Source organism: Homo sapiens, chromosome 8 (assembly GCF_000001405.40).
Source record: "Homo sapiens chromosome 8, GRCh38.p14 Primary Assembly".
Classification (NCBI taxonomy): Eukaryota; Metazoa; Chordata; class Mammalia; order Primates; family Hominidae; genus Homo; species Homo sapiens.
The window spans coordinates 70,441,900-70,454,667 of record NC_000008.11 but is presented as its reverse complement, the minus strand read 5'-3'; the positions used below and the strand labels follow the sequence as shown (position 1 = coordinate 70,454,667).

Below are 12,768 nucleotides of genomic sequence, written 5' to 3'. Positions count from 1 at the left end.
GTGCTGTTTTGATAAATGTTGTTGATTTGGTTTTGTTTGGGATTGGTTTGGCTTCTCAGAAATGAAAAAAGGTGTTTAAATGAAGTAATTGTCAAGCTAAAAATTGGAGTCTGCTTGTGTTCCAAGGTAATTTAGCTGATGGTCTACTTGTACTACCTTTGAGATAAAACAAAAGATTTTTAGGAGTTAGGGACTCTAAATACAGTTTCCTCCGAAAAAGGTCAAATAGCCAAGCAGTCAATTAGAAGGAAAGTTTACAGTCAAGTTTTGATGAATAGAGCAGTTCCGTTCTTTGCACAATTGCTAGTTTTGCATCCTGTCATTCACTCTTTTCTCAAGAACAGTTCAGAGCTGCCGAGCTGTCATGAGCGTGACTTGATTCCTGTGAATTGACTGTGTTCCAAAAGCTCATTATTGGAAAACTTTTCCATTTGATGCTAAATATAGAGTATTATATAAACACAATGTATTATAGGTCAAATTCTGTTACCATAAATGCTAAGAGGCTATCCAATTTGGAGTTAGGAAGGGAGTATTAGAATCTTATAATACAGATAAAATGTGATTACAATTATATAAAGCAAAACTATTTTCAAGGCTTAGTCAATGGGCACCATATTTCAATTCTCAGTAGAAAATCCTTAAGAGTTTGTCAAAATGAGAGTTACTTTAAATGAAACATGAACAATTCTCAATCTTTTTCATCTCACAAGGATCTCACCCTCCTAAACTCATAGCGCTTATTCCCATACCACCACATAGAATGTAATAGTATATTGCTTTGTGACAATGCTCATATGTTGTTTAAAGCATAACATTATCTAGCATTTTCTATTTCTATTTCTCTCTTCAACTTGACTGTAAAGTCTTTGAGGGCAAATATCCAGTGTTTGACTTCTGTGTGTGTTTCACAGTGCTGAATCCACAGTAAGTCCTTAATGAAAAGGATGGAGAAAGGAAAAGGAAGGAGCGAGAAGATGGTGTGACAATTTCAGGCAGAATAGATAGCCCTTCGAGAGGGCCTCACTGAGACTTCAGGGGATTTTATTTAATAAGGAAACCTCTTATTCAACACTTGATTTAAAATAAAGAAGGGGAATAAACTGAGCATAGCTTTCTACTTATGAACAGACTAGGCTTATAAATGTCTAGCTCCCAAATGCATTACCCTATACAGGAGTGTGAGTTCATCTTTTAAGCTTTAGGATCAGGTTAATACACATTCTATCAGCCACCTTTGGGCAAAATGGATTAGTTTCATCTCCACTCCATGTGTGAAGAAGGAGGCAACTCCTGTCCGTGGTAATTTCTGCGTGAGCCTAGGGGACCACTCAGCAACTGTAGGATCTCCTTGCTGTCTACCTGCCCCAGACTCTGACATTGGGCGCATTTCGATGTGGGCCAACGCCAGGGTAAGGGGAAGGTAGATAGCAAGGACTAGGGAAGTCTTGCCACAAAAGTTTCATCAGGAACACTTTGGCCAGGCTTAGCATTTAAATTCTCAAGCTCCAAGCCCTCTCCTGAATTAACATTAGGCGAATAGGCTCCTCTATCTGAAGGTTCTACTTAAAAGTTTGTTAGGTTGGGGCACTTCTGTACTAATAAATATTAACCCTTACTCTTCAAGAGAATCTTTAGAATTTCAGTCTGACCTTGATCCTGGGTTACATTAGACTGAAAATACAAAACCAAACACTTTCACCTGTACTGCTAATTTTCTATCTCTTAAAGAACTAGGTCTTGAAAGAAGATTTTTATCCTAATCTTCAACTCCCAGTTCCTTGCAATCTTTGTAATCTTTACTTCCTTCCATTTACTCCCTTCTAATTGCCCTATGAATAGAGTGATCATATAATTAATTGTTCAAACCAGGAGACATTGAAGTTTTATGTTTTTGTTTGGGTCTTTTAGATTTTTGGTGTTGGCTTTTTTTTTTCTTTTTGCAATTTTAAAAATTGATATTTAATTCACATAAAATTCACCATTCTAAAATGTACAATTAATTGGTTTTTAGTATATTTTGTGTTTTACAAACTTCAATTCTATCTAGCTCTAAAACATTTTCATCATCCCTAAAGGAGACCCCACACACATTAAGCAGTGACTCCCCATTCTCTTTTCCCCCAGGCCCTCGAAACCACAGAGATACTTTTGTTTTGTATGGATTTGCCCATTCTGGACATTTCACATAAATGGAATCACACAACAGGAGCCACTATGCCCAGTCTTGTTATTTTCTCTTTTTTTGATTATAGTTATCCTCATGGGTGTGACATGGTATCTTGTAGTTTTGATTTGCATTCCGTAATGATTAGTGGTGTTAAACATCTTTTAACATGCTCATTGGCCACTTTTTATTTCTTTGGAGAACTGACTATTACAATTATTTAACAGTCCAGGTGAAGTGGCTCACACCTGTAATCCCAGCACTTTGGGGGCCAAGGTGGGCAGATCACTCCATCCCAGGAGTTTGAGACCAGCCTGGGCAACATGGTGAAACCCCATGTCTACAAAAATTACAAAAAATTAGCCTGGAATGGTGGCATGTGCCTATAGTCCCAGATACTTGGAAGGCTGAGGTGGGAGGATCACCTGAGCCTGGGAGACAGAGGTTGCAGTGAGCTGTGATGGTGACACTGCATTCCAGCCTGGGCAACAGAGTGAGATCCTGTCTCAAAAACAAACAAACAAACAAACAAACAAACAAACACCTTAAATGCCCATTTTAAAAGTGAGTCATCTTTTTATTGTTGAGTTGTAAGAGTTCTTTATCTATTACAGACACTTTAACCTGGTATATGAATTGCAAATATTTTCTTCAGGATATTTATAAGTGAAGGGAGAGAACTGTTAATACTTGCTCAGAGAATACAGACATACTGAGACAGTTTCAAGCAAAACAGGACATATGATCAACCTACCTGTGGAGGATCGTGATCCAGCAGGTTGAAGAATGAATGTTATTTCAATTTTAATGGGACAGTCTATCTAAATAATCAAACATAGTCAATCGAACCAAGTACCCTTTCTGCATTAGCTGCAGTGCTATATGCTGTGGAAAGGAATCTAAAAAAAAATAGTTTAAAATATTTGTGAGTGCTTAAGCAACTTTAAGGTCAAGATTGAAGGACAGAAGAAACGCACACATTATAAATGAAAGGATTTGTGTACTACGGTGGCTTAGAAGAAGAGATAAGTGTTAGGATACTTAGAGAAATTCTAGCTCTTTTTCTTTTTGTTTCCTCCTTTTTTTTTTTTTTTTTTTTTGGTCTCACTCTGTCATCCAGGCTGGAGTGCAGTGGGGTGATCATGGCTCACTGCAGCCTCTGCCACCCAGGCAAAAGTGACCCTCCTGCCTTAGCCTCCCGACTAGCTGGGACTACAGGTGCGTGCTGCCATGCCTGGCTAATTTATATATATATATATATATTTTTTTTTTTTTTTTTTTTTGAGACGGAGTCTTGCTCTGTCCCCCAGACCGGAGCACAGTGGCGCGATCTCAGCTTACTGCAAGCTCCGCCTCCCGGGTTCACACCATTCTCCTGCCTCAGCCTCCCTAGTAGCTGGGACTACAGGCGCCCGCCACCAGGCCAGGCTAATATTTTTGTATTTTTTGTAGAGACAGGCTTTCACCATGTTACCCAGACTGTTCTTGAACTCCTGGGCTCAAGTGATCCGCCCTACTCAGCTCCCAAAGTGCTGGAATTACAGGCATGAGCCACTGTGCCCAGCCAGTTCTAACCTTAAAGAACAGATAGCACTGAAACTAAGAGAATTCTTGTTTTGAAAAGGAAGTGAGTTGGCCAGGCACGGTGGCTCATGCCTGTAATTCCAGCACTTTGGGAGGCCAAGGCGGGTGGGTAACCTGAGGTCAAGAGTTCGAGACTAGCGTGGCCCCCATCTCTACTAAAAATACAAAAAGTACCCAGGAGTGGTAGCGCACCCCTGTAATCCCAGCTACTCAGGAGGCTGAGGCAGGGGAATCACTTGAACCCAGGAAGTGGAGGTTGCAGTGAGCTAAGATTGCCCCATTGCACTCCAGCCTGGGCAACAAGACTGAGACTCCATCTCACAAAAAAAAAAAAAAAAAAAAAGAATAAAAAGAAGTGAGTTAGTGCATCTGTTCAGGTTGCTTTAACAAAAGTATCATACACTGGGTAGTTTATAAACAACAGAAATTTATTGCTCACAGTTCTGGAGGCTGGAAAGTCCAAGATCAAGTTACCGGCAAATTCAGTGTCTGGTGAGGGCCCACTTCCTGATTCAGAGATGGTACCTTCTTGCTATATCTTCACATGGTAAAAGGGGCTAGTTAGTGTTCAGGAGTCTCCTTTATAAGGACCCTAATCCCATTCACATGGGTGGAGCCATCATGACCTAATCACCTCCCACATGCCCCACCTTCTGATACTATCACATTGAGGGTTAGTTTTGAACATATGAATTTGTTCAGGATGTAATAGTTACTGAGAGCTCTAGCTCATGTGTGTGACATGTGCTAGGGAGTCCAGAAGGGCAGAGCACCCTTGTATGCTCCTATGCTGAGAGAAGGAACGAAAAATAAGGGCTGTGTTTCACACAATGGTTTTGTTCTTCTCTTTCCAACCTCTTACGTTATCACCCCATTAGAGCAAGGAGAAAGGTTTCTAAAAATAAAAAAAAGGTATATATTATTCTACATTCCTGCTTTTGAAGAACACAGCAGCCATTCAGAGCACATTGATTCAATTCTGTTGCTACTTCGTTGCATTTCATACTGTCCCAACCGGAAATTAGCCCTTAATTTGTACTTGCCTAAAAGCACTTTTATTGCTAAAGGTTGACATCGATGCTTTCTAATAAATAAGTCAACTTTGTGAGGACAGGTGCTTTCCTGTTCTCTGGTCTAGTCCCATGTGAACGTCTTGGATCTGCCCCTGCAGACCTCCTGTTCACTCTGCTCTCTGCCTTTGCTCTCTGGCTGCTGCCCACACAGACTCAGCCAGTGGGCTCAGGTCTCTGCAGATGCTGGCTGAGTTCAGTCAGTGGGGATCCCTGGGTAGAGATTGGAGGAGGGAAGAAGGGTAAGATCAAGGTGTTGGTTCACCTGGCTCCTTTTCTGTAAGGTTCCCTGATCCTGCCAGCTCTCTCCCTGGTCGTGTTCCTTTGCTCGCTCCCTCTCCTTCAGGACCTACAAGGGGTGACAGTTTTGCTGGTGCTAGCCTTGAGTTCCTGCATAATCCTGCTTTACCCACACCTTTGAAATTAATCCCTTTTGTAAATAAACTCCCTCTGGATTATTGTAATTTGAATGTGCCATCTGTTTACTCTTGGGACTGTAACTGATATAAATGCTCATAGTGCCCAAAACTTTAGAAGGTGCTTAACAAGTATTTGTGGAATAATTAATAAATGCATAAATGAGAGCAGGTGCTTCTATTTCATCTTGTTTTCCTTGACAATTACCTGGTTAGAGAAGAGATTTTTGATAAGGGACATGAAACTTGTAAATTTTCAGTTTACACTTAATGTATAAGTTGACTTCATTTTGAGAAATCTATTTTTAATTTAAAGTGTAAGGTAGGCCAGGTGCTGTGGTTCACGCCTGTAATTTCAGGGCTTTGGGAGACTGAGGTGGGAGGATTGCTTAAGGCCAGGAGTTTGAGACCAGCCTGGACAACACAGTAAGACCCCATCTCTAAAAAAATTTTTTTTAATCAGCTGAGCATGGTGGTGCGGCACCTGTGTCTCAGCTGCTCAGGAGACTAAGGTGGGAGGGTCTCTCGAGTCCAGGAGATCAAGGCTGCAGTGAGCTGCGATTGCACCACTGCATTCCAGCCTGGTTGACAGAGCAAGACTCTGTCTCTTAAAAAAAAAAAAAAAGCCAGGCAACAAGTCTCATTGTATGATAATTCTGCCTTATTTTGTCACCACAATAATTAAGTATATTCTTTTCTGTGCACTAAGCAAAAACATGTAAGATTGGAAGCAAGGGACATTTTAACATTTTTTTCTACATCATGCGATGTAAGTGGTGTGTGTGTCTGCTCAGTATCAAAGGAAAAAAGAAAAATGTTGTTTTTTTCCTTATTTCAAAAACATCATACTTTTTCTTGCAATTGTTTTCTTAGTCGTGATGCCAATTTCTACCTTTGCCAATTGTCACACTGAGTGCTTCTGATCACAGGGCAGTAGTTCAGAAAAAGCCCTAGGGTATAGTACACTAAATTTTAACTTTAGTCTTACCTCTTTCAGTTTTGACTTCTCTTTGTTCACTCTGATATTTTTGTTTTGTTTTGCTTGTGGTATGTGTGTCTGTGCACACACACATATTTTCAACATGGCCATGCTACAGAGAAAGGCATTTCTTACCTTCCAGCATACTTATAAAAATATTACCTGCTTTCTCACAGAAGCAAGATATCCATAGCTACCTGCCCTACAAAGATCAATAAAACTTTCTTTTTGCTTTCATAAATGATTTCCTCAGTCCTCTAATTTTCTTGAGGACAAGAAGGAAAAAAAATTAGCATTAGCCTCCATTTTATCCCTTTGTTCAGGAGACTTTATAAGCTCCAAGAAAAAAAAAAAGTCTGTTAGAAATAACAACTATGCCTATGCAGATTCCCTTTGTCAAGAAATTTGATTAGAATAAGAATATCAAAGATTGTCAAAGATCAGTAATGGTGAATTAACAGATCGGGGGCTAGGCATGGTGGTTCATGCCTGTAATCCCAGCACTTTGGGAGGCCAAAGCAGGAGGATGGCTTGAGCCCAGGAGTTTGAGACCAGCCTGGGCAATATGGAGAAACCCCATCTCTAAGAAAAATACAAAAAGTAGCAAGGTGTAGTGGCATGCTCCTGTAGTCCTAACGACTCAGGAGACTGAGGTGGGAGGATCACCTGAGCCTGGGAGGTCGAGGCTGCAGTGAGCCATGGTGGCGCCACTGCACTCCAGCCTGGGTGACAGAGTGAGACCCTGTCTCAGAAAAAAAAAAAAAAAAAAGAAAACAAAGACCTAAGAAATGATGGCCATTTCAGCTAGTGTGGAAATGAAAAATGAAAGTATAAATTAACTATCAACCAGGGATTAGGAGAAAAAAAAAACTTGTCTCAAAGAAAAAGTCTGTGGAACAACTTTTCGGTGGATTCTAAGTGAGTCAGTCACTCTAAGTGAGTCAGTCACATCTCTTGGATGGCGAACAGACTGGACACAATGGGTGTGGCCGCCATTATTTGACTGGACACGATCCCTACTGCTTTCTAAATTGGGAGCTTGCTACATGATCTTTTTGGAAAAGTTTCTTTCAAATTATTGCCTGAGCTTGTCATGGCTTGCCCCAAAGCAGCCAAACAACTGTCTCCTATGTGCTTTTTCGCCCCAATCCAGCTATTGTGTGCTCTGATGCGACTGAGGGCTATGCTCCTAAGTCTGGTCTGCATCTTAAGGAGAAACGACAGGGAAAGAGTTTGGAATGCTCTAGCCCACTCAGTGACAATGTGTTAGAGTGTTTTCCTCAAATAAAATGCCATTCTTAATTATATTTTCCTCAAAAAATAATTCTCTGTGATTGCCAAAGAGAAATTCATTCATATGTATCTTTGTTACTCATTTTCTCGTGGATTCTGTAAAACAGATTATTATCACTGTAGTATGTGTGAATTTTCTATATTGCTTTGATTTCAAGACAAACTGAAATTTTGATTTGGTGATTTTAGCGAAAACATTTCAGGAAGCCTAGAATTGCTGAGCAGGCTCAGATTTAGCTTCCAAGGACAGGACAAATCGTGAAGGCTTTGTTGCATTTTGTGCATAGTTTGGGGTGAACATCAAATCTTGAAGTTTCCAGAAGGACAAAGGTTGTGTTAAATGGCATATTTTCTTATCCTTCTCTTTCTTTTTAATCCTTCTCATATAACTTGTTGGAAAAAAAAAGAAAGAACCATTTCTTTCAGAAAAATCAATTTAAATGGACTCTCCCATCAGATGGAAAAACTGAGCGAAATTGAAAAATAGCTCAGCTCATTAGAATACTTCCTGGGGACTCTCTGGGGGAAAGGCAGGGAGGGAAAAAAATAGGGATTTACAATAAAATTAGGGATGAAAACAAAAACAAAACCTCATTCCAAACTATTATGTAATGATGACCCAGGAATTATGGCAACGAGAGATATAGTCCAAAACTATACAGTAAGTGCCACAGTCATTGGCAAAGGAGCTAAGGGAAACAAAAGAAAGAATCAACGCTGAGAATGGGAGGGTTTTTGTGAATGTCTACACCAAGAATCTGTGAAGTTCTGTAATCCTATATTCTTCCACAGTCCTCTGGAAGGCACCTTAGGGGTTAATGTGACTACGAAGCTATCTGAGGCAAAAACCAAATTTTGGGCACCCAGCCCTGGAGCCGATAAAGGGGTTGTGGTGGTTTGACTTCAGGGCCCTACTGCTTCTCCCAGTTCTCCGAGTGAGCCGTCCTCGAATTGAAGTGCCGCTTTGGGCATGAGGAGCAGAAGTAGCAATGTGGAGGGGTGGAGACAGCTTGCTCTGAAGAGCTTTTTGTCTGGTGATTCTGTGACTAAAGATAATATTTGTTTATCTTGTATGTTTAACTTGTGTCTTGTAATCCAGAAAGCTGGAAAAAAAAAAAGTAGAATTACAAGTAAGTTAGTGAACCAACCCATAGTATAGGGTATAATTTCTAGGCATGGGAAGGGCAGGAAGAACAAAATCAGCAGTTATGATAGAATGTATTTTTTCTGTGCTCTCTCCGACCCTTCCAGTAGGATAATTTTACAATTAAAGTGCTGATTGCGCAGCAGTGTTTGATGTTGAGTTATTCTGCGCTATTCATGGAAGCAACTTTCTTACTTCTTGCATAGTTAAATGATTTTTAAAAAGAAAATAAAACATCAATCAATCAATCAAACACAAAAGTCTTCCAGTGGCACTCCAAGGCTGGGAAGCCCCAGGCTGCAGAACATGGAGAAGGATTTAAAACTCGAACATCCTCCCATCAACAAAACATGATTACAGTAGCTCTGTGAATATACCAGATATTATAATGAGTGTGGAGAGGCCAGAGGCGTGGGGGGTCTTGGGGCAACACGTTTAGGCTTTTAAAGGATAAAAGGCCCAGAAAAATTCCAGGAAGGAGAAACTGTATGTTCTATCACAGCAGTGTATTTTTTTCTCAGTGAGATCAGCTCCTCCTCTTTCTCTCGTTACAGGCTCGGCTCAATATTATTGAAGTAAAGCCAACAGCAAGTTAGCAAACCAGCAGGGGAGCAAATTGATTATACAGTTAACTGTGGAAAAACTGAAATTCTTTATTAAGGGAAAATGAAATACAGTTAATTTATGCTTCAACCAAGCCTTTCCCCACGTGGCATTTACTCTATTGGTTCTTTGACTTTGCTGTGAGGCTGTAACTCAGCCAAAAAATGACAGAAGCTTTACTGATTTAAAAATAAGGCAGGTTTTGAGCTTTTTTCCCCCCTTGCATGATGATTTTTCCAGCTACAATTACTGTAACTCACTCATTATAGAGGATAACATGGCAGGCAAACAGGCAAGAAAAAAAGTGTGGTAAAACAGTTGGCAGAATGTAAATTGAAAGTCTTTGCCATCTAATTTTAAACAGTATTTATAGAGAGCACCCATTGAATACAGCATTCAACGTCTCACACAAAATCTCTTAAGTAGTAGACACATTTGCTGAAGTTGTTAGCAAAACTAGTGGACCCTAATAAGTGAAAGAAATTAATAAAACTCTAAGCTCCAAATTTAAAAGATAGAATCAAGGTGAGGTCCATCAATTTCATGTAATTTTGAACTATAAAACCTAATGCTGGGGTGCCCCTTCAGAATTAAAAATAATATTAATGTTTTATACACACAAAGAAAGCTTTCAAAGATCTGCATTCTATATTTTGTCTTATTAATTCTTACAACAGCCCCAGGTTCAGAGAAATTGCTGTATTATTTTCTAACTTTTTATTTTGAGATAATTATAGATTTTCATACAGTTGTAAGAAATAATGTGGGGAGATCCCATATACCCTTTGCCCAGTTTCCCTCAATGACAATGTCTTGCATAATTATAGTACAATATCACCACCAGAAAATTCACACTGATGCAGTCCAGCAATCTTATTCTGTTTTATATGCACTCATTTACATATATGTATGTGTGAAGGGGTGTGTGTATATACTCAGTTCTATGCGATATTTTCACATGCATAGTTTGATGTAACCACCACCAGTGAAGATATGTAATAGTTTCATCATAAAGATCCCTCGTGCTACCCTTTTATAGCCACAGCCACAGCCACCTCCTTCCTACCCCACTCCCTAACCTCTGGCAACTACTAATCTGTTTTCCATCTCTGTAATTTTGTCATTTCAAGGATGTTATATAAATGGAATCGTACAATATATAGCCTTTTGAGATATCCTTGAGATCTATTCAAGTTGTTGTGTATATCAATAGTTTGACTCTATTAATGCTTAGTAATAGTCCATGATATGAATATACCACAATTTGTTTAGCTATTCACCCATTGAAGGACATTTGGATTATTTCCACTTTGGGACTATTACAAATAAAACTGCTGTAAACATTTGTTTACATGTTTGTGTGTGAACATAAGTTTTTATTTCTCTGGAATAAATGCCTAGGACAATTGCTCTGTGTGTGTGCGTGTGTGTGTGTGCAAGCACGCGTGTGTGCATGCTTAGTTCTATACAATTTATCTAATGCTAAGATTCATGTGACCATGACCATAGTCAGAATATATAGTATTATTCTTTTAGCAATAAAAATATAATATTATAGCCGGTAATTGCAGCACTTTGGGAGGCAGAGAAGAGAGGATCACTTGAGGCCGAGAGTTCAAAATCAGCCTGGGGGGCAATATAGCAAGATCACATCTCTACCAAAAAAAAAGTTTTTTTTATTAGCCAGGCATGGTGGCATATGCCTGTAGTCCCAGCTACTCAGGAGGCTAAGGTGGGAGGATCCCTTGAACCCAGAAGTTCAAGGCTGCAGTAAACTATGGTCTGATCATGCCAGTGCACTCCAGCCTGAGCCACAGAGTAAGACTTTGTCTCTAAACAAAATTTTACAGACAGATAGAAAAATAGAACAGAGCTACCCTGCAGCATGCTGAATTGGGGCAATTGCTCTGTTTCAATTCAATTATATTCAAAATATATACAAATATGCAGAAAATCACTGCTGTCTAAAGATAGTGATTCCTGTAAGTTATAGGCATAATAATAAATATATTATACCTAGTATTATTATTATTATTTTGCGACAGGGTCTCACTCTGTCACCCAGGTTGGAGTGCAATGTCATGATCAGACCATGGCTCACTGCAGCCTCAACCTCCTGGGCTCAAGTGATCCTCCTGCCTCAGCCTCCTGAGTAGCTAGGACCACAGGCATGCGCCCCCCACCACCCAGCTAATTTTTAAAAACTTTTTGTAGAAATGGAGTGTCACTTCATTGCTCAGGCCGATCTCAAACCCCTGGCCTCAAGCGAGCCTATCACCTCAGCCTCCCAAAGTGCTGGGATTACAGGCATGAGCCACCATGCCCAGCTATGCCTATTATTTTAGTAAATTTTTATGTCTTCGAGGAAGCCTAAAAGTTTTACATTTACTATGTTTTTGTTAGAAAAAGACTTGTTAAGCTTTTTTGTGCAATGGACTGCGTACGGATGCTTACCCGTAAGTGTCTAATTCTGAGTCAATATCACTGCTTTTATTTGGAGGATTCTAAGATAATGAAATGTGAGACATTGGAATCCTATCTCTGATCAGAAGAGGTATAAAATGGCTCAGAAGAGGTATAAAAGAGCCATTCCTACCACAGGACAGCTAGAATCATCCTCCAGCAGAAGCGACCTGGGGAGTGGTTATTAAAGACTTCAAGACAAAGGGAAAAGCCTTGGTATGTTGGGACTGCAACATTCTATTGAAAGGTAAGACCCTTTGCATAAGCAAATCAGAGGTCAGTAGCTGTTGGCAAAGCCTTGTTACAAGAAAATAAATACTGCTTAGAGGAATTTCACCCTGTGTTTCACAATTAGGCGTGTGCTATTTAAGTTAGCAAAATTTTCTAACTTAAGAAGTTTCCCTTTTCATGCAAATGAAGGTTTTTTCAAGCTAATTATGAGCTAAGAAAACCAGTACTTCAAAAGTATGTGAAAGGTTAATATACAAGAATGGTGACTATTTTTGTCTCCACCGAAGTGATAACAAAGGTGAAAATAAAGTTTCAAATATGTTGCTTGAGGGATTTATGTGTAAATACATCCAAGTAAACACTAAGATAACCTGAGGAAGTTGGTAAATGTTCTTCAGCCCTAAAAGTTTACTTCTATACATCTAGAATGGCTTAAAATGCATGTGTGAGCTAGGCCAGCGCGTGCCAACTTTAATGGGAACATTACCTGTGACTGTGACCCTGTTAAATGCAGCTTCTCTCATCGGCCTAAAGACCTGAGAGTCAGCCTTTCTCTTTCTTTCTTTCTTTCTTTCTTTCTTTCTTTCTTTCTTTCTTTCTTCTTTCTTTCTCTGTTTCTTCTTTCTTTCTTCTCTTTTTCTTTCTTTCCTCTTTCTCTCTCTTTCCTTTCTTCTCTTTCTCTTTCTTTTCTCTTTCTTTCTTTCCTTTATTTCTTTCTTTCCTTTCTTTCTCTCTTTCCTCTTTCTTTCTCTCTCTTTCTTTCCTTTCTTTCTTTCTTCTTCTTCTTCTCCCACCTGTGACTGTGACCCTGTTAAATG

At 39.6% G+C, this 12,768-nt stretch overlaps 1 protein-coding gene across 1 annotated transcript in view, besides 1 other annotated feature; it reads left to right on the top strand.

Moving 5' to 3' along the window:
• The window catches only part of NCOA2 (nuclear receptor coactivator 2), a 346,665-nt gene that overhangs the window by 1,779 nt on the left and 332,118 nt on the right, over positions 1-12,768 (top strand). The gene's annotated exons all lie outside the window — the stretch shown is intronic.
• Positions 12,159-12,700: an enhancer, noted in NCBI's record as "OCT4-NANOG hESC enhancer chr8:71354203-71354744 (GRCh37/hg19 assembly coordinates)". NCBI's record gives its function as "activates a minimal SCP1, AML or CMV promoter by ChIP-STARR-seq in primed H9 embryonic stem cells {active_cell/tissue: H9 hESC(primed)}" and the evidence as "EXISTENCE:reporter gene assay evidence [ECO:0000049][PMID:30033119]".